Source organism: Homo sapiens, chromosome 14, assembly GCF_000001405.40.
Source record: "Homo sapiens chromosome 14, GRCh38.p14 Primary Assembly".
In the NCBI taxonomy this organism is placed as follows: domain Eukaryota; kingdom Metazoa; phylum Chordata; class Mammalia; order Primates; family Hominidae; genus Homo; species Homo sapiens.
The window spans coordinates 105,168,823-105,189,470 of NC_000014.9; the positions used below are offsets into that span (position 1 = coordinate 105,168,823).

At 62.8% G+C, this 20,648-nt stretch overlaps 1 protein-coding gene across 2 annotated transcripts, besides 2 other annotated features; it reads right to left on the reverse strand.

The window, feature by feature from the left end:
• Nucleotides 1,824-2,660: an enhancer, noted in NCBI's record as "H3K4me1 hESC enhancer chr14:105636983-105637819 (GRCh37/hg19 assembly coordinates)". NCBI's record gives its function as "activates a minimal SCP1, AML or CMV promoter by ChIP-STARR-seq in naive H9 embryonic stem cells {active_cell/tissue: H9 hESC(naive)}" and the evidence as "EXISTENCE:reporter gene assay evidence [ECO:0000049][PMID:30033119]".
• NUDT14 (nudix hydrolase 14) lies at nucleotides 4,117-12,490 on the reverse strand. 2 transcript variants are annotated; one of them, NM_177533.5, is made up of 5 exons: nucleotides 12,307-12,490; nucleotides 8,870-8,913; nucleotides 8,141-8,205; nucleotides 7,712-7,949; nucleotides 4,117-4,439 (listed from the first exon to the last, which is right to left on the reverse strand). In NM_177533.5, exons 1-5 carry the CDS (start codon nucleotides 12,385-12,387, stop codon nucleotides 4,199-4,201), a joined length of 669 nt encoding a protein of 222 aa, NP_803877.2. In that variant the 5' UTR covers nucleotides 12,388-12,490; the 3' UTR covers nucleotides 4,117-4,198. The 2 variants fall into 2 exon arrangements, with proteins under 2 accessions (NP_803877.2, NP_001305309.1); NM_001318380.2 differs by lacking the exon at nucleotides 4,117-4,439 and adding an exon at nucleotides 6,666-7,165.
• Nucleotides 12,190-12,659: a silencer, noted in NCBI's record as "silent region_6221". NCBI's record gives its function as "represses an Ori minimal core promoter by ATAC-STARR-seq in GM12878 lymphoblastoid cells {active_cell/tissue: GM12878}" and the evidence as "EXISTENCE:reporter gene assay evidence [ECO:0000049][PMID:35858748]".

The following is a 20,648-nucleotide window of genomic DNA, read 5'->3' on the forward strand; positions in this document are numbered from 1 at the left end:
AGGGGGCGGGGCCGCGCCGCGGGGTGGGGCCGGGGGGGGGTCCGGGGGCGCCCCAGGCTTTAAAGGCGGTGGAGGGCGTCGCCTGCCAGCGCCCCGGCCCGGCGCGCGCCCCCCAGGGCGCCCGGGCGGCGGGGGCACGGGGCCTCGGGGTCAGCGCGGGCCGCGGGGGCCCCGCTCACACCTCCGCGTGAGTCGGCGAGGCGTGCGCCGGCGCCGCAAAGCTGCCTCCCCTCCTCCGCCTGGGCTCCTGCCGGGTGTCAGAAACCGGGGGTGGGGCGCCCCGAGGTTGCCGTGTGGTCCCCTCCCATCAGTGCGCCACCGCCGCGCTCCTCGCAGTCCCAGAGGAGATGCCGCCTCCTACTCTGATCAGGGCTCGGCCCCCACGCGGGGTGGCGCGGCCCTGGGGCCAGAGCCGGGCCCAGCCCCTACTGCGCGCCCCCCACCTCCTCCGAGAATCTCCCCTTCTCCGCGCCGCTCCTACCGCCTCCACGCCGGCTGCAGGGGGCGCTGCGCCCCTCCGACGCCCCTGCCTTCCCCTCTGCGAGGCGCGCTGGTCAAGCAGCCAGTCAACAAATGCTCCAGGGTGCAGACTGCTCAGCTCGGCGCTGGCGTCGAGGTAGCCAGGCCATGCCCTCAGGAAATGCTCAGGCCACATTCCCCGTTTCCCGCCTCTCGCCCCCCAAACTCAGGTCTGGGCTTGGGGGGCGAGAGGCGGGAAATGGGGAACAAAAGTCGGCAGTGCCTGTCCCTGAAGGCTACCCCGAGAGAGGCCTCCCACTGCTGCCCTGGTCACCAGGCTTCCACACCCCATCCTCTGCGGTCACCTCCTTGCCCTCTCCCTGGGTGACCTCGCAGCTCCTCCACAGGGTCAAAACCAATGGCACCTTCCTCTCCTCCAGTGAGCACGGTCCTTTCCAGAGCTAGGGGTCACCTTGGTGGTTAAAGATCCCCATATGGTCCAGAGGGGTCCTCAACCCATCCCCATGATAACTGAGCTGTCTTCTCTCCCCCTAGCTCCTCTCGCAAATTTGCCCTGTGCCCGGAGCTGGGTGGCTGTGCAGCCCCCCAGCCTGGAGCAAGTCACTGCCACCATGCTGCTGGGGCTGAGGGCTGAAGGAAGAGAGCTTTGGAGGCACAGGGCCTGTGAACACCCCATGCGCAGGGTCTGCCTGCTCCATCCCTGTTTAGCAGCTCCTCCAGGATCCAGGCCGCAGGCTCAGCTGAAGGTCCCTAAAGGGGTGGGTGGGAGCCCCCCATGCCCACCTCAGCTGGCTCTGCTCAGAGTGCCCACCCCAAACTTGGTGGTGGGTAGGCTTCGTGGGGATTAAGACACAAGCCAGGATGAGGCCCGCACAGAGACCCCCACCAAACAAGAGAATCCAAGCTGTGTTCAGAGCCTTCCAGTTGCCGCCTTCCGGTGTGTGGGCGGTGATTACCGCCTACGGGGGGAGGGGCTCCCTGTGGAGATGCCACCTCTCCTGTGCTTTGGCCTGGGGGCAGGTACTCGGGTACTCGAGAGAGGGAAGCCCCAGGACAGAGAAGCCCCCTGCCCGGCTCCAGAGGCCCAGGGCTCCATCCCCACCTGCGCCCACTGCCCCACTATGGTGGGGGAGGGGGTGCTGGGTGCCTCTGCTGGGCACTTGGCCAAGTGGTGAACAAGGGAGACTCCGCCCCTGCACACCCTCAGGAGCCCCCAGCCCGGGGGTGGACAGAGGACTTAGACAAGTCATACAGAAGCTGGCATAGGGGGCCGCCAGAGCGTGGACGGGCATGGGTCAGCCAGACCTCACGATGTCCATGAGAGCACCCAGGTCAGGAAGGTGGCCGCACCTGCCCTTAGGAAGGAGGGGGACATAGGAGGCATCGGAGAGGGGGTCCCTTCCCTGCAGGAATTTCAGCAGCCCTTGAGCCAGAAATGCCAGGCAGCTGGACCCTGGTTTGAGTTTCCAGAAGGCAGCAGTGGGAACCCTCGCCCCTCATACATATTTCACAAAACACATTTGCCCCCTGCTGCACCTTGCTGGGGTGAGGGGCTGAGATCAGTGGCGGCCAGGGCTCCAGCCCCAACCCTCACCAGACCAGGCTACCTGGTCTCTTCTAGTAAGGGACCTCGTCATTGTTCTGGGGCCCACTGGACCACAGCACCCTCCAGCCTCCCAGAGCCACCCGTCCCCCAGCCTGGAGGGCTCCCACTCTGAGCGCTGGGCGGTGCCCAGCTTGTATGCAGAGGGCAAGGGTGCAGCTGCTCAGCCTGGCCAGGGGCTCTGGGCCCATAGGGCAGTCCTGGGGACCAGGCTGAGGACGGGCTGCCAGGGGTTTGGACAGAGCCGGCGAGGCTCCAGAGTAAGCTGTGCTTCCGCTGGGTCCTGCAGTGCTAAATATAGCAGACGGGGAGGGGAGTTTCCGGTTACAACCCCCCCTCCAGTGCCGGGAAATCAATGCCAGCTCCATTAGGCCCGGCAGCACTGCCTGCTGACCCACCCCATCGGGCTGCGGAGCAAAGTGAGGGGCTGGACTACACCCAGGTCCGGGTGCCCTGTCACCTGTCCCCTCAGTGCTTCAGGGGCCAGACCCACCTGGTGCCTGCGAGAGGTCCCTCTGAGGTAGTGGGAGGCCTCTGCTGGTCAACCCGGAGGGCCCATCGCACTCTCGTGGTGTCACCAGGCAGGCTGCTGGTAAGGGCAGCACAGCAAGGCTGCTGTGGGTCAGGCAGAGCTCCTGTCCTGTGAATGTCCTGCTGGGGCCTCATCTGGGTAGAGTGAAGCTGAGGCTGGCCAAGACCCGCACACCCCATACCTGGCAGCCCCTCCCTGGCACACACCCCATACCTGACAGCCCCTCCCCGGCAGCCCTGTCGCTGGCCTTGCTGATGCCCACAGGGCCCCACCTGGGCCACAGCCAGCATTTGCATACAGGTGGCACTGCTTTTGTGGGCCCCTGAGGCACAGCCTCCTCAGGACAGCCTCCAATGCCAGGCTGTCCAGCACTGTGCTGGATGACAACAGGGGGTCAGTCTCCACCTCCCTGCCCAGGGTTCCACCCTGCAGGGTACTGAGGCTCCCTTCACTTCACTGTCCCCTTCTCTACTTTCCTCCTGGGAGCCACAGCCTGGACCTAATGATGTCCAGGAGCGGATCGATCCTGCCGCAGACTGATGGCCCAGCAGTGCCCTCGAATGCCCACAACCAGTGCCAACACACCCATTCACCTGCAGAACCCTTACTGTGCACCTGTGGCCCAGGAAGCAGACCAGGCGAGCTGGGTCCCCTCCTGCCTCACAAGCATTCTGGGCACCTGGGGAGCAGCTCTGAGCTGCACGCATCTCCCACAGCCCCACCCTCAGGACAGGTCAGAAGGCAAGGCCAGGGCATACAGGCCAGAGATGCTCAGGGGCCAGTAGAGCCTGGTGCTGGGCGGCCCAGGCTGAGGCCGTGCCCCGGGACCAGGACCGGGCTGGCACCAGGAACCTGGCCCATGTCAAGACCACTGGCCTTGTGTCCCCACCCTGTGCCGCCACCTGCTCCTCTTGGAGCAAGCCTGCAGACATTTCTGCATACCCCACAGGCCGAGGAAGGTCCCTTGGAAAACTTCCAAGGCTGGGGGTGCACGGATCAGCTACTGGGGCCCCCGACACAGGGCAGCTTTGGCTCCGGGCTCCTGTGGAGTGGCTCTAGCCCAGCCCCAGTCAGGGTGGGGACCCCTCACTTGCCCCAGGAGCAGGGAACATACTTTCCCTGCAGCGTGCAGCCTGCAGTGCTGCCCACCCCATCCTAACTCCTGAGGACTGGCTCAGCCACCACTCTCGTGAGCACAGCTCATGCTGCAGCCCCGTGACCAGCAGGCCCACCCCCAGGCCTGCCATGCCACCCTCCATGAGTCCCGGACCCCACCCCTCCCAGCTCCAAGAGGAGGCACAGCCTGGCCCTGCCCATGGCATCCCCAGGCCTGTCCTCAGCCCCACAGCAACCACCTGCATGGCCTGCCACCAGCTACTCCTCCTACAGGAGAGCTCGCCGTGTCCCGAGGGCCATCTCAGGTCAGGGTCACTGCTTCCCGCCCCTTCCCCAGTCCTCTCCAAGGCCCTGGTCACAGAGCTCAGAACCAGCAGGCAGAAGCTGGAGCTATGCAAGCCTTTATTGGGGTCCGCGGGGTGTGGGGTGAGTGGCCAAGACTGGCCTCTGTCTAGAACCCTGGAGTCTCACTGGAGATCCAGGTTGGGGGCCACCTGGCTGAGGAACCATGAGACACCAAAGATGACGCCGAGGGTCTTGGGGATGTCCGGGTCGTCTGCAAAGGCCTGGGCGCCTTCCAGGGGCAGGTGCACCACCTCAATGAGCTCACCCTCCTCCACCAGGCCCCCACCTGGACCGCTACGCTGGGCATCTGTCACCTCTGTGTAGAACATGGTCTGTCTGGAGCCAGTCAGTCCCACTCCAGACCTACGGGTTGAGACAGGGTCTGCTGAGTCACCCACGCTGGCCCCGCTGGCCCCCTGGCCCTTCTACCACCCTCCAACCCACCCTCTCCACTCTGCTCCCTCCAGCCCTCCAGTAGGCAGGACTCTGGGATGCCCTCTCCCACCCGGATTCCCACCTGGTGTGCACGCCCGTGGCCCCTCCCGCAGCAGGGCATCCCTTCCCTGATCACGTTGTACTCGCCAGGTGGGGTGGGTGTTGTCGATGTGATTAAGGACCCTAACCGGTGACTTGAGCTCATCAGAAGGGAGAGCATCCTAGGCGGGCATGGCCCGATCACGAAGCCCTCCAGAGGGTGTTTCAACGCCAGAAAGGGAGAAATTCAGGCCAGTCCTGCTGGCCCTGAAGGGGAAGCAACCGCCATGCTGGGAAGGGCCAACAGCCAGCAGGGAGGTGGGACCCAGTCCCCAGCCACCAGGAGCTGAATTCTGCCATAACCTCGTGAGCCGGGAAGACCCCAAGCCCCCATGAGATTGCAGATCCGGCTGACAACCTGCCTGCAACCTGTCAAGGCCAAGCAGAAGACCCCACCCCTGTCTGCAGCCCCCAACCAGATACCCTGAGGCTGTTCCCAGTGCTGTTTGGAGCCCCTCAGTCTGTGGCCAGCTGCAGAGGCCCATGCCAGACCCCAGCCCATACCCGGGGACACAGGCTGGCTGGGAAGCAGGGACAAACCCACCAGGCCTTCCCGCAAGGGTTCCCCACCAGGCACCCACAGGACACAAGTTTCAGACTAGGAACAGCATGCACTGACCGCCCCCCCACCCCCCGTAGCATGGCAGAGTGGGGTGGGGTGGCAGCGAGGTCCTCAGTACCAGGCCCAGTGGCCCAGGCTGGGGAGGGGTAAGAGGAAGCCCCCTCCCTCAGTGGGCAGTGGCCAGAAGGGGGCTGCTGGCAGCCAGGAGGGGTCAGGCACCAAGGGAAGGAGCCTGGACTGGCGTGTGTGGAGGGAGACCACGGGCTAGGAGGACAGGATGGCAGAGGGGCTGGGCTGCATTCTGGAACAGGAGGGGGAGGGCCAGGTGTGGATCTGGGGAGAAACGGGACTGAGGGGCATCTGGGAAGATGACCAGGGGGTGGGGGAGCCCTGGCTCGCCGCAGGAGGGGCTGTCGGGTGCCATGAACCAAGGCCAGCCGGAGGCCTGCAGGGTAGAGGCCGCCCTCTGAGATGTACCCAACATACAGGGGCAGGGACAGAACTGGGGGCTTCCATGCCCCACCCCCAAGGCCTCCCCACCTCCGGGGGGACTCACCCCAGACCGACCTTACCCAGCTGCTTCCTTGCCCTCTAGCCCCTCACCTCCCGCAGACCCCTTCCTGATGGCCCATTTCCGGCGGCGGCCGCGGCTGCGCCTCTGAGGGAAGTGGCGGGTCTGGGGTTTCCAGCCCCGGTTTCCGCCGGCTTGTGAAGGAGACAGGCCCGGCCCTTGGCCCGGGCTGAGAGGAATCTGCCAGCCAGGCTGGGCAACGCCTCCCCCACCCCAGGGCACGTTCCAACTTCACTCCATCACGCCCCAAGCTGACTGCCTCCCTGGGCCTTGTCCTTTGCAGCGGCAGGTAAGAGGCCTGGCTCACCTCCAGAATCAGAGACAGGGAGCCACGGGCCCTGCCACAGGGTGGGTGAACTTTGCTGTCAGTCCAGCCCCCCATCAGGCCCTCAGAGACGGACACCCTGACCCCTAGTCAGCAGCATCTCCAGTCCTGCATCCCTGAAGCCACGGCCTGCTCTTCCCGATGCGAGTCTAAGCAGGATGCCTACTTCCCAGAGCCCTCCTTGGCTCCCCAGCACCCTCACAATCAGGCTGTGGCCCAGAGGCTGTACCAGTAGAACCACCGCGGCCAGGGCTGCTTGACCACTTGCCCTGAGAGCCTGTGCGGTCCCTCTGCCAGGAACCTGCCCAGGCCCACCTCCTCCAGGGGGACCAAGGGGACTCCAGCCCCTCCCATGCCTCCCGGCTGTGCTCAGTACTATGGGCTGGGGAGCTGGGGGCACAGTGGGCGTGGCCCACCACGGGGTAGACACCTGCAGAAAACCAAGGCCCATCCTTCACACCCAAGTCCACCCTTCGGCATGGAAATTCTGTTTTGTTGAGACAGAGTTTCGCTCTTGTTGCCCAGGCTAGAGTGCAATGGCGCGATCTCGGCTCACCGCAACCTCCGCCTCCTGGGTTCAGGCTCACCGCAACCTCCGCCTCCTGGGTTCAAGCGATTCTCCTGCCTCAGTCTCCTGAGTAGCTGGAATTACAGGCTCCTGCCACCACGCCTGGCTAATTTTGTACTTTTAGCAGAGGCGGGGTTTCTCCATGTGGTCAGGCTGGTCTCGAACTCCTGACCTCAGGTGATCCGCCTGCCTCGGCCTCCCAAAGTGCTGGGATTACAGGCGTGAGCCACCGTGCCTGGCCCAGCGTGGAAATGCTGCCTTTAACTTGGGAGTCCACCCATCCAGCCAGGAACGTGCCCAGGTGAAGTCCTTGAGGCTGCTGAGGTGGGAGGGCCCCAGGCTCAACCCTGAGTGGCCCATGTGCCAGGCTGACAGGTGCAGAGACTTCCGGTGCTTCTCCCAGTGGAGCGGGCCCTGGCCTCTGGAGGAGGCTGTGGAGGCTGGTGCTCAGCTGGTGGGGGTGGGGGTCTGTGACACCCTCCTCCTTCCCCAAGACCTCAGCTGGGGTCAGGAGCCCATCGTAGCGTCCCTGGGGAAGTGGATGGGCTTCATACCAACATCTAGTCCTGGGAAGGCAACCCCACCCCAGCTGGCAGCCCTCGCGGGGCAAGAGTTGGTGCCTCGAGTTTGGTGGGTCAGGTCCCAAAGCGCAGGCTCTAGTGCCTGTTCCCCAGGAGAGCTGGAGCCACCCCTTCTCCAGCCCAGGACACAGCTTCTCCCTCATTCCTAAGCCACCCTCTGAGAACAGAGCTGTGAGTCACCCCCACCCCCAGCGCCCGGTCTTAATCCTACAGGAAGTAGAGGCACCTGTCAGCAGCAGCTGTCACCCGGCCTGCCTCACACAGCTGGGGGCCGCAGGCTGGGGGCATGGGGCCGAGACGCTGCAGAGAGAGCCCCAAGAGCCCAGATTCTGGCCTGGCTTAGGAGCTGAGGCGCATTCGGTCCAACCCTCCCCTAATCCCATGTTGGAAAACAAGGAGGAATCCATCCTGCTTGCACACTCCCAGGGACGGGGCCCTCACTCTCTCCCATCTCCTGAGTCACACCACAGGCCTGAGGGCCTGGTCCCACTCACCAGTATGTGGCGACCCGGCGCAGATCAGAGGGGGCCAAGTGGTAGCCACACTCCTCCCAAGCCTCCTTGCAAGCCACTTCCTCCAGCGAGAGCCCAGGCTGGTCCACGAGGCCGGCACACAGCTCAACTGTCACCCCCGCTGAGCCGGGCAGGGCTGGCTGTAGCTCCCGAGGCCCGTCCTGGTCTACAGCTGCTAGGGACCCTGGGAAGCGGCGCTCCACCTCACCCGCATACACAGCTGCGTGGGAAGAAGCCAGACTGTGCTCACAGCCACGTGGTGGCCACCTCCAGGTCACCCACACAGCCAAGCCCCCTCCCAGGGCCTCAGCTTCCCCTGGAGCCCCCTCCCACATCTGTATTCAGACCCTCAGGACCACAGGGACCTGAAGGTGACCCTGCAGATCCCCTTCCCACCCCAGCTGGCCTCACCTGGCCGGAACTGCTTCACCAACACCAGGCTCCTCCGAGAAGAGTTGAATAAGAGAACGGTCACGCTGTGTACGGGGGGAGGGGCTCAGCACAGAAGCACTCCACTGGCCCTCGTGGGGCCCCACCTCCCATCTTTCTGTTCCCAGCGTGGCCATCCCACCTCCTTGCCAGCAGCCCAGGGAGGTCAGGCCCCTTGCTCAGATAGGATGGCTGAGGCCCAGGCGGGACCAGAGCTTTCCAGGGTCACAGTCTGGCCAGGACCCAGACCTGCTGTATTCCAGCTGGCAGGATGGGAGGCGGGGGGCAGGGAAGGACACACGGGCAGCTGAGTAGGTCAGGGTGCTCGCAGCTGAGGCCGGGTGACTGACAGGACGTTTGGCCCTCACTGAGCAGCTGCCCACCAGCCACACTCCTCGAGCCACGTCGCCATCCAGCCCAGACCCTGGATGCTAGGGGCAAAGGCTCCAGGACAGCCTCTCCCTGCCCTGAGAGGGCCTGCCCACCATCATGGTCCCGGTGGCCTGAGCAAAGACCTGACTCAGCCCCCAGGCCTCAGGCTGACCCCTCAGGGATAGGAAACCCAGAGGCCGGGCAGAGAGAAGGGACTTTTGGAGCCCACGCAGGGAACAGCAACGTCAGGGAGGAGAGGGCACCTTCGCCCTGGGCCCAGTGTCCCCGTAGACATCAGTCTGGGGCTTCCCCAGTGGCCAGGCTGGGCCAGGCTCTCACCTGTCATGCGTCTTCATGAAGTCCCAGGACTTCTGGGCACCATTCTAGAAGGGGCAGGTCAGCGGTTAGAATGTCCCAGGATGGGCGGAGGTGCTCGGGGAACCGAGGAGGCCACAGACCCATTGCACCCACTCCTAACCAGGGAGATCGGCTCGTGGCCTGGGCCCACGGGAGCCAGGAACTGCAGCTCCCGTGGGCAGAGGAGCAAGCAGCCTGGGAGGGGCAGGGAGGTCAAGGACAGCCTAATACCCTACGAGTGAGGCAGAAGACCAGGGCAAAGGGCAGGGAAGGTGTCCAGGCACCTCATGAAACACTGCCCAGCACAGACCGAGCACAAGGGGCTGCAGAGAGACGTACACCGTCACCAAGTATAGGAAGGCTCATGGAGGCTCGGGGAGGGCAGGCGTGACTCCCTCACAGCAGGGCAGGAGGGCCCTGCAGGCAGAGGAGAGGTCAGGTTTTCCTGCTGATGCTTCCTTGGGCCACTGAACAGGTGGAGACGGGAGGGCAGGAGGGGCCGGCACCAGGAGTGGATGGGGAAGGGTGGCAGGAGGGGCTGGCACCAGGAGCAGATGAGGAAGGGTGGCGCCCCAGCCAGGTAGGAGATCGCACTGCAGGACTCGGTGACTGTCATGATGGTGACCAGGCTCGGCAGCCCCCCCACACACCCCTACCCCCAGTTTCTGGCCTCGACTCTCCCACATACCCTGTGGTCCCGTTCTCCTGTGGCCACCCTCCACCTTCCCACTCCCCCACACTGGGCACACCACCCTGGCAGGCCCCTGCACCCTGGGTGGCACTCAGTGAACGGAGGAGGCAGGGTGGGCAGGTGTGTGGGCTGGGCCTGCTGGGGGAGGCTGGAACTGATGCATTCTGAGATGCACTCCCATCCTGGGGGCTGAGCCTGGGGTCCCGCGGGGTCCCATCTCCGGCACGCTCAGCCCATCTGCCACTCTGAGGCCCAGGCCAGCTGCTCATCCCCCACCGGGGGCTCTGCCCAGGGCTGTGAAATGGACAAGAGGTCTGAGCAGCAGAGACACAGAAGTGCAGCCAGGACTGCAGAAGAGAGAAGAAGCCTTCCTGAGGACTTTCTGGAGGAGGTGACGGAAGTGAGGGAAGGGACTCTGGGCAGGCAGAGGCGCAGAGGCCCTCTGAGCTTGGCCGGGAGGCAAAGGCGTCCTGGGAGGAGAGTACCGGTTTCCAAGGGAAGGGAGGGCCGGCGTCCCGCGCAGGTCAGGCAGCCCGAGAGGCCGTGGGGTACCACTCCCGGGAGGCGACCCCAGGCCTGCCTGACACCCAGCCACCCCCGAACCACCACCCAGCCAGGGCAGGCTCCAGGGAAGCCCCCTGCCCACAGCCTGCCATGTGCCTGCTGTGCCCATGCCCCTTCCCCACCACTGCTTCCCCCCGAGTAACATCACCCCATGCAGGTCTCAAGGACCCTCTCAGCTCAAGGTCAAAAGCGTGTCAGACCCTTAGGTCCAGCCAGGTCAAGGTGCAGGGAGGTTTAGGGAGGCTGCTGAGGCCTGGGAGGGAGGGGCAGGGCTGGGTGCAAAGAAGACCCCATCGCCTCGGAGCCACGGGGGTCCCCTGCCTTTGGTCTGCCTGACATCACAGGCCTCCCCTGGCTGGACGCAGCAAAAAGCTGAGGGCTGCAGCTGCCCCTGGGTGGCAGCCAGCGTCCAGCCCAATGTCCCTTGGCCCTGAGGAGATGCCGCCCAGCCCGAGCCTACATCCGTGTCCACCACAGCCACAGCCCGAACCAGCTCAGCTCTGGTCACCAGAACCCTTCAGCAGAGCTGTGCCGGCGGGCTGCCCGCTGAGGCTGCAAGGGCTGCCCTGAGGCTTCACGGGGAGTGAGGGAGAGAGTGCTGCCACCAGGGCCACAGAGGGCACCTGCCTGGGCCTGCACCTGCTGCCTGAGACCCAGCCCTGTGGGGACTGTGCAGCCACAAGCAGGCATCCCATATGGCCAACGTCAGGGAAAAGGGCAGTGACCCCATGTCTCCACCTGCTGTACCCCGACTGATCCCAGCTGCCCCCTGCCAGCACCACCAGCTTAGCTTCGCCTTGGGGAGAGGGATCCCCTGTCCTCCAGCGCCAACAGGACTCCCGCAACAGGGAAAGTGAGGGGCACAGGGCCTCTCTCAGGCTGGGGGCCAAGAGGGCTTCTCCAGGATGGCGAGGGGCAGAGTCCTGGATGTGATGGGGGGGACAGGATGCCCCCTGAGGGAGGGAGGCAGGCAGGCAGAGAGGCACTGCGACCTGGACCACCTGACCTGATAGGCTGGGGGGCTGGACTGACTGTGACCAGGAAGGTGGTCTTTGCCTTAATGGCATGAAGGAGCTCTGGCAGAGGGGAGATCTGCTGGGGGCAGGTGGGCATGCAAGCAAAAGGTGGGGCCCTAACTGGACAGGGCTGGGCTTGGAGGAAGACGGCCCGGGACTCAGTGATCCACTGGATGTGGGAAAAGGATGGCAGCAGCTCCTTCACCCAACACATATGCCTCATGCCTGTAATCCCCATGCTTTGGGAAGCCAAGGCAGGAGGATCGGTTGAGGCCAGAAGTTCAAGACCAGCCTGGGCAACAGTGAGACGTCGTCTCTACAAAAAAATTTAAACATTAGCCAGGTGTGGTGGTGTGCACCTGTGGTCCCAGCTACTGGGGCGGGGGCTGAGGCAGGAGGATCGCTTGAGCCCAGGAGGTTGAGGCTGCAGTGAGCTGTGACCATGCCACTGCACTCCAGCCTGGGCGACAGCAAGACCCTGTCTCAAAAACAAAACAAAACAAAATATTCCTTGTGAACCTACCATGTGCCTGGTGCTAAGTGAGGCAATACAGCCTCTTGTGCCGTGGCCTGGCATGGGAGAAGGTGACACCCTAGGAGGTGGGGAAGGCTGAGCTTAGGCAGATGGAGACTCCAAGGAGGTGCCCTCCCTGGAAAAAACCCCAAGGAGGAAGCCTGCTTTGAGAGGCTCTCTCAAGTTCTCACTCAGCTCCTTCTCCTACCTCCCTGCGCCCGGCCTCTGCGCTCCTTGCTCCCTCCTCCTCGGCCCAGCTATCTCCTCCTTCAAGTGGTAGCATGAAAGCCACCACTTCCAGGAAGCCTTCCCTGATCCCCAGGGCAACCAAGGAGTTCCACTGCCAAGAGGGTCGGATTGGGCGGGCGGGAAGGATGGGGCCCAGCAATGCTTCCTTGAAAGGATGAGTGGTGCCCCCTCAGATGTCCCTCCCGCGGCCCCTCCCCGGCCTGGGGGCTCACTGGGTCTGGGAACCCGCGATCCGGCGGGCGGACAAGCGGCCGCCCGGGAGATCGGCGGGAGGCGGGGGCGGGGCTCCGGGGCGGGGCCGGCAGCGCGGAAGATGGTGGGCGGGGCGCGGGTCGTGGGCCGGGCCGCCGGCGGGGGCGCGGGGGACGCGGGGGCGCGGGCTCACCTGGCGGTAATGCAGCGTGAGCGGCCGCAGGTAGGGTGAGGCGGCGCAGCGGCCCACGGACGCCCCCTCGATGCGCTCCATGGCGGCGCCCGGACAGGCGGGGGCCGCGAGCTCTGCGGGGGCCGACACGGGGCGGCGCCCTGTCCCGACAGGAGCCTTCGGGCGGGCGCGTGACCGCGGCTCTGAGCATGCTCCGTGGGCGCGCGGGGCGGGGCGGCCGAGGTGGGCGGGGCGGCCGAGGTGGGCGGGGCTCGCAGGTGCCACCTGTCGGGTGCCGCGCGCCTCGGGGCGCTGGTCGCCGCGGTGCCAGGGAAGCCGCGCAGGCACGTGGGCGTCGCCCGGGGGAAGGACTGGCCGGGTCGACCCCGGCCGCCGGGCGGGGCCAGCCGGGCCGGGGTACAGTGCTTGGGTGGGACTCGGGACCTCTTGGCTGGGGGAGGGAGGGCCTGGCGGTGGTTGGAGCTAAGGGCCTGCAGCTTTGGGGTGCGATGGGCCGAGCGGATGCCTCCCCACTCTGGGGATGGACCACAACCCCGAGATTAAGTTACTCCAGGGGTCCGCGGGCGGGGCCGGGGGCGGGGCAGCCCCCCAGGGAGGGAGGGACTGTGGGCCCAGGAAGAAAATCACAGGAGACCAAAGAGAGAGGGCCCTGGAAGGAAGCTAGGGGAGAGGAGAGTAGGGAGCTGGAGGGGCCAGAGCTTGGGCCGAGGGGGCCTCCCCTCGAGGTTCCTGGTGGCGAGGGTGGCTGGGAGCTGCCACGCTGTCTCTGGAGCTGTCCCTCCTCCACTCAAAAGCCAGCTGCCCTTCCCTCCCCCTGCAAGTCCTACCTTGATGACGGCCCTTCCTGGGTGTGGGAGGGTCCCAGGCAGCTTCAGTGCTTCCTTGGGCATGGATTCCAAGGACCCCCTCCAAATGCCACCACGGCCTCCACGGGGGCAGGAAACAATATTGAGGCCCACACTGGCCCTGAACCCTGACCTGCACCTGCTTTCTGAACTATGGCCCAGGGGACATGCTCAGGGTGGACTGGCCATGTGAGCTTGAAATCGACTCCCAGTTCCCTGTTAACTATTGCCGTGTAACAAAACACTCCTCCAAAGCTTAGTGCCTTAAAGCACCCCGTTATCGCCTGGCCTGTGGGTTGCCCAGCTCAGCCAGGCAGCCCTGTCTTGGGGTCTCTCTGCAGTTGTAATCAGGTGGCAGCTGGGGCTGGAGTCGTCTGAAGGCCAAACGGGGTGGACCGTCCAGGATGGCCTCTTCGCCCCCGCCCTCAGTTGGGTGGCTGGAACAGCTAGGGCCGGCTGGCCTCCCATGTGGCTGGCGTGGGCTTCCCTGCAGCATGGTGGTCTCGGGGTAGTTGGATTCTCCCGTGGCAGCTGGCTCCCTCCAGAGCACGTTCACCAGGCCAGGCCAAGCTGCCAGGCTTTGTGTGACCTGGCCTCAGATGTCATATGGTGTCATTCCTGGGGCATCCTGTGGGTCAGAAAGTCCTGGGCCTCCGGCAGATTCCAGGGGAGGGACATCACCAGGTGGGAACGCTGGGGAGCACGGTCATGAAGCCAGCATCCAAGTCCAGCTGTCACCGCCCCAGTAGCTCTACAGGGGCCTGTGTCTCCCTGCTTTAGCCATTCCGCCTGGTGTCCCGGAAGCCAGAGCGCCCAGCCCAGAAGCTGGCCCCACCCTACCCCACAGCCAGGCAGGCCTCTTCCTCCGGTGCACGAGGGGCCCAGGGTAAGCGCGCACCCTGGCATGTCGCGTGCAGGCTCCTTCCTGCCCGTGGTTGCATGGAAAATGAGGATGAGTCTCAGCTTCCAGCAGCAGCAGCCCCGGGACAGGCAGAGGCAACAGGAGCCCCATCAAGGAGCCCCTGGGAGAGCCAGCAGCTCCTCAAAGCACCGTGCTCCTCAGACTCACTCGGGTCCAGGTGTCTGGCAGTGCAGACTGCAGAGCTGAGTGCCTGAAAATATCAGCAAGGAGCCCACTGTGGGACGCAGCCTGGCGGCTCCTCAAAAAGTTAAGCATAGAATTACCCTGTGGTCCAGCAACTGTCTTCCTGGGTATCCACCCAAAGGAGTTGAAAACAGACACTCAGACAGATGCTTCCTCACAGCAGCCAAAGGGAAGAACAACCCAAGCATCCGTTGCCAGGTGAATGGATCCAGAAAATGCAGTGTAGACGTGTAAGGTAGCACAACTCAGCCATGAGGAGAGAAATTCCCACACAAGCGACAGCGACACTATGCTCAGCAAAAGAAGCCAGACACAAAGGCCGTGTCCTCTGCGATTTTGTGTATATGAAATGTCCAGGCCGGGCGCGGTGGCTCATGCCTGTAATCCCAGCACTTTGGGAGGCCGAGGCAGGCAGATCACGTGATGTCAAGAGTTCGAGACCAGCCTGGACAACATGGTGAAACCCTGTCTCTACTAAAAGCCAGCCGTGGTGGTGTGTGCTTGTAATCCCAGCTTCTCGGGAGGCTGAGGCACGAGAATCGCTTGCACACGGGAGGGAGAGGTTGCGGTGAGCTGAGATCTTGACACTGCATTCCAGCCTGGGTGACAGAGTAAGACTCCATCAAGAAAGGCAAAGGCAAAGGCAAAGGCAAAGCAAGGCAAGGCAAGGCAGAGAAAGGGAGGGAGGGAGACAAAAAGCAAGAAAGAAAAAAGAAAATGTCCAGAACAGGTAAATCCATGAGACGGAAAAGCAGCTGCGGACTGGTGGGGCTGAGGGCGGGAGAATGAAGAATGCTGACTAATGGGTGCCGGCTTTCCTTTCCGTTTGGGGTGAAGAAGGCATTCTGGAAGCAGGCAGTGCTGGTGGCCGCACAGCAGTATGAATGTACTGAATGCCGCTCAGTGTGCACTGTGAAGTGTTTAATGTTCTGTGAATTTCAGTTCCATTTTAAACAAATTTTATTTAGAGATAGGGTCTCATGATGTGGCTCAGGCTGGACTTGAACTCCTGGCCCCAAGCAATTCCCCCACCTCGGCCTGCTGAGTAGCTGGGACTACAGGTTCACACTACCATGCCTGGCTCGGTTCAATTTTTTTTTTTTTAAAAAAAGGAAAAACCAGTGTCACTGAGGCTATTCAGGAACATTCCATGCTGTCTATGACCACAAGGCCACTGCCCACACGTGGAGCTGAGGACAGGGCAAGTGAGGCCTGCTGTCCCTCCGAGATGGAAAGGGAGAAAAGGCAGAAGCAGCCCAGGCACTTTACCAGTTCCTGCTGTGCACTGGGGTGGCTCGAACAGGTGATTCGGGGCAGGCCTGATGTCACAAGAAGTTAGGACAGGCATGCCAAGAGGCAGAGGACAGCCTCCCCGAGGACACGACACTCCCCAGAAACCCGAAGATCCAAGGCAGGAGAAAGGAAGCTGTCCTGGCAGGAGGAGACCGAGGCCAGAAGAGGCGTTGTGGCCCTGGGGGCAGCTCCCTTGGCCTGTGCTTGGCACATCCCCTGGGGCCACTGGAAGTCTCGGAGGGGTTGGGCAGGGCAGGTGGTCAGATGCCCCTCTGGGAGGTCACCGTGGCTGCCTGGGGCCGGGGGAGGAGGAGACTGGTCCGAGGGCCTTTGGCTGTTGTCCAGAGTGGTGGCTGTGCAGAGGATGGCTTCGTTCCCCATGGAAGCAGGTGCAGGAGGAGGAGGAGGAGCTTGATTTGGGGAGGGGCTCCAGGAGGGGGAATGAGAGGACTCCGTGTGGCCAGGTGGCCTGAGAGCCACAGTGGAGAGCTCTGAAAAGCCACCTCTGGCTTTGGCAGTGTGGAGGCTTCAAAGACCCTGCTGAGCATAGTGGCAGAGGCCCCTGCAGATGCCCTGTAGCGGGGCCAGAGGGCATGTGGGGTGAGAGCACCAGTGTCAGCTCCCCAGGGCTGCCAAGACAAACCACTGCCAACCCAGCAGCTGGGAACAGCACGGCCATGGCCTTCCAGCCCTGGGGGACGGGTGTCCAAAACGCATCCCACCGGGTGAAGGTCAAGGGTCACAGGGCGGCTCCTTCTGGGGGCTCCAGGGGAAGATCCATTCCTTGTCTTCTCCAGCTTCCGGAGGCGGCCCCCGCCCCCTCCTCACCTTCAAGGCCAGCAGAGCGCCCCTCCGTCCTCCCCCGACTCTGCCTCCGTCCTCGCGTCTCCACCCTCCTGCTCCCTCTTCTGAGGTCCTTGTGACCACAATTTAGGGCCCCCCCGGGTCATCCGGGGCCATCCGGGGCCATCTCCCACCTCGGGTCCTTCTGTTAGTCAAACCTGCTAAGTCCCCTTTGCCACAGAAGGTCCATACTCGCAGGTTCTGGGGATCCAGGTGTGGACTCTGGGGAGGATGCGTCGGGAGGGCATCACCACCAGGGCAGGACCCTGTGGCGCCAGGATCTGCAGCCTGGGGCCTCGCCCCGCAGCAAGTGGGCGGGTTTCTTGCAGGACACCTAGGAGACCGCTGTGGGCTTCTGTCCCCCTTCCTCTGTAAGGGGAGTGAGGCAAGGGCCCCTGCCAAGGATGAGATGGGAGGGGAGGGAGGCGAAGTGGCCCCTGTTGGCAGGGGGCTTGGGTGCGGGCTCCGAGGGGGCCTGGGGAGCAAGGCTTCCTGGTGGCACCGGGCTGGGGATGCTCCTGGGCCATGCTGGAGGCAGGGCAGGTACAAGGGGGGCCCCTGGGCTCCTCCATGGCTCAGCTCCTTCCCAGTAAGGTCACAGGCAGCAGGTGGATTGGAGAGTTGAGGACACTGAGCAGGGAGCTACAGGCATGACAGAGCCCAGGTGGGGGTGCGGGGGGTGGGGAGGACGTGGGGGAGTCAGGGGCGGGAGGGGTGCAGGAAAGCCAGGGGCGGGGATTCCGAGGTAAGTGCAGAGGGAGTGTCCCGAGAGAGGCTGAGTTGAGGGGAAGCTGGAGGAGGATCAGGATGGGGGGTCAGGAGGTCGGGGGTGTGGGGCACAGAAGTCCACTGGGTGTGGGCAGGAGTTGAGTGCAGAGTGCTCATAAGTGAGCAGAGTGGTGGGCTCCAGGACTGGCAGTGGGGTGCTGGGGGGATACAGCAGAGACCACACCCGGAGGAGCAGCAGGGGGCTGGGCCGTGTGTGTGTGTGTGTGTGTGTGTGTGTGTATCTGTGCATCTCTGTGTGTCTGTGTGTGTAATGGAGAGAAGCAGTATGTGTGTGTGTGGAGGTGTGTGTGGGGGGCTGTGTGTGGGGGGTGTACATGAGTGTGTGGGGGGTATGTGTGTGAGTGTGGGGGAGTATGTGGGGGGGTGTGTGGGAGTGAATGTGGGGGTATGTGTGTGGGGGGGTGTGTGTGTATGGGGTGTGTGTGTGGGGTATGTGAGTGGGTGTGGGGGTATGTGTGTGGGGGGGTATGTGTGTGAGTGTGGGGGAGTATGTGGGGGGGTGTGTGGGAGTGAATGTGGGGGTATGTGTGTGGGGGGGTGTGTGTGTATGGGGTGTGTGTGTGGGGTATGTGAGTGGGTGTGGGGGTATGTGTGTGGGGGGGTATGTGTGTGAGTGTGGGGGAGTATGTGGGGGGGTGTGTGGGAGTGAATGTGGGGGTATGTGTGTGGGGGGGTGTGTGTGTATGGGGTGTGTGTGTGGGGTATGTGAGTGGGTGTGGGGGTATGTGTGGGTGTGTATAGGGGGTGTGTGGGAGGTGTGTGTGTGGGCTGTGTGTGTGGGGGTATCTTTGTGGGGGGTATGGGGGGTGTGGGGGGTGTGTGTGTGTGAGTGTGGGGGGTATGTGTGTGGGGCGTATGTGTATGGGGGTATGTGTGTGTGAGTGTGGGGGGTATGTGTGTGGGGTGTATGTGTATGGGTGTGTGTGTGAGAGTGTGGGGGTATGTGTGTAGGGGGTATGTGTGTGGGGGTGAGTGTGTGGGTGTGTGTGGGTGTGTATAGGGGGTGTGTGGGAGGTGTGTGTGTGTGTGTGGGTATGTGTGTGGGGGTATGTGTGGGGGGTATGTTTGTGGGGGGGTGGGGGGTATGTGTGTGGGGGGATATGTATATGTGGGGGTGTGTATAGGGGGTGTGTGTGTGGGGGTATGTGTGCGTGTGTGTGAGTGTGGGGGGGTATGTGTGGGGGGTGTGTGTGTGAGTGTGTGTGCAGCCAAGCTTCTGCACTGAGTAGGAATAGGGCGGCTTCACTAAGCAAAGGGGCTGAGCAGGTTGGAGCACCTGCAACCCAGGAGTGCGCTGCAGAAGAGGCTGAGTACACAAAGGCTTCCTCCCAGGCTGAAGGTCCTGCCTTCGTGAGGTGCTTGGCAGGGAGAGCCTGGGAACTGCTGTTTTTTCTGGGCATCTGGAAAAGCCTTTTCTTTTCACCTATGATAGGGAGTTTTGGTGATGATAGGTTGTTTTTTGTTTTTCTTTTTTTGGTGGGGGTGTTGTTTTTGTTTTAGACAGGGTCTCACCCTTGCCCAGGCTGGAGTGCAGCGGTGCAATCTTGATTCACTGCAGCCTGGACCTCCTGTGCTCAAGTGATCCTCCCACCTCAGCCTCCTAAGTAGTGAGGACTACAGGTGTGCGCCCCTATGCCCAGCCAATTTTTTATATTTTTTGTAGAGATGAGGTCTCGCTATGTTGCCCAGGCTGGTCTCAAACTCCTAGGTTCAAGCAGTCCTCCCTCCTTGGCCCCCACAAAGTGCTATCAAGGCGTGAGCCAGTGACCCAGCCTGTTTTGCATGTCCTAAGCTATATTATCTTTTGTCTTGCCTAATCTCACAGTGGGCTCAACCTCACCCTGTCAGCTGAAAGTCTCAAGAGAAGAGAACTGAACAGAGCCTGGGGTCAAGGTGTCTTCAGCCTCCCGGGGACTTCACAGGAGCCATTCAGGGCCATCAGTGGGTGGGGACTAGAGGATTCTAAGGATACCCAGGTCCCCACAGTCAGGGCGTGTGACGAGGCTGGCAGGGGCTGCTCTGCAGTTCTGCTTGTAACCCCCCAGCGCCTCGCCACCGTCTCCCAGGTCCCAGGCATGAGTCAGAGCAGGTGCGGTGGAGAAGCAGCATCCTAGCTGCACCACGGGCGCCACCTGCTGTCACACCCTCTACTCTCAACGGCCAGCTCCCACGTGGGCACAGCTGGCCTCCAGACACCTCCCTTCACAGCCCTCTGAAGGCTCCCTCCCCCTGCTCTGGTGGAGCCCATCCTGCAGCCACTTCCTGCGACAGGGTGCGTGGAAGACACATTTTGAGCACCGTGCCTATCTGAGAATGTCTATTACACTCTCATCCTTGAATGATAGCTGGGCTGGGTATAGAAGTCTAGGCTAGGGCCAGGCGTGGTGGCTCACTCCTGTAATCCCAGCACTTTGGGAGGCTGAGGCAGGTGGATCACAAGAGACCAGGAGTTTGAGACCAGCCTGGCCAACATGGTGAAACCCTGTCTCTAATAAAAATATGAAACACTAGCCAGACATGGTGGTGCATGCCACCCAGCGACTCGGGATGCTGAGGCAGGAGAATCACTTCAGCCTAGGAGGTGGAGGCTACAGTGAACTGAGATCACGCCACTGCACTCCAGCCTGGGCGACAGAGCAAGACTCCATCTCAAAAAAAAAAGAAGTCTAGGCTGGAAGTCACTTTCCTCCAGCATTTTGCAGGCATTGCTTCATCGTCTGTCTGTCTCCAGGGGCTGCTTCCACTTCTCAGGCCATTCTGAGGCCCGTTTGAAGACGTAACATGTGTCCATGTGGAGAATGTTCTGTTTGCCCTGTTCGCGGTGTTTTCCACATTGTCGCGTCTTGGCTTGGGGATGCTTGAGCTGGCAGTTTCTGAAAGACGAGTTAGAGATAAAACTGAAATAGGAGGCGACATCTAGGATCGACTTCAAAATAATCACGTCGGGAGAGGGAAAGGAGACGGCAGAACTGGCCCCACGCTGAAGACCACTGAGGCCTTCTCAAAAAAAAAAAAAGGGGGGGGCATAGTGTAGAGAGGTGGTGTGGGAACCGGAGCCGGCCCAGAATGGTGGTGGGGCACGTCACTCACTCCTGTGGCTTCTGCCGCCGAGTGTGGTAGAAACTATGAGAGCGGGGGTGGTCCGCACACTGTGTCTGCCACAGGCCCGTAATGAGCCGTGGCCGGATCCAGGATGTAACCCAACAGCAGATCCAAGAAGAGTTCAACATGAAGGAAACAGGAGAGCCAGAGATATTCCCCAGGTTTTCTGGCCCAAGCACCTGGGAGGTGGGCCCACCTGGAGCAAGGGCAGATGTGGTTTGTTTGTTGTGGAGCTGGGTGGAGTGCGAGGCGTCCTTGGGAAACTGGGTATTCACATGCAAAAGGAGGAAGCTGGATCTTCACCAACCACCCTAATCACCCTAACTCGGGCCAGGTGTGGTGGTACACGTCTGTAGTCCCAGCAC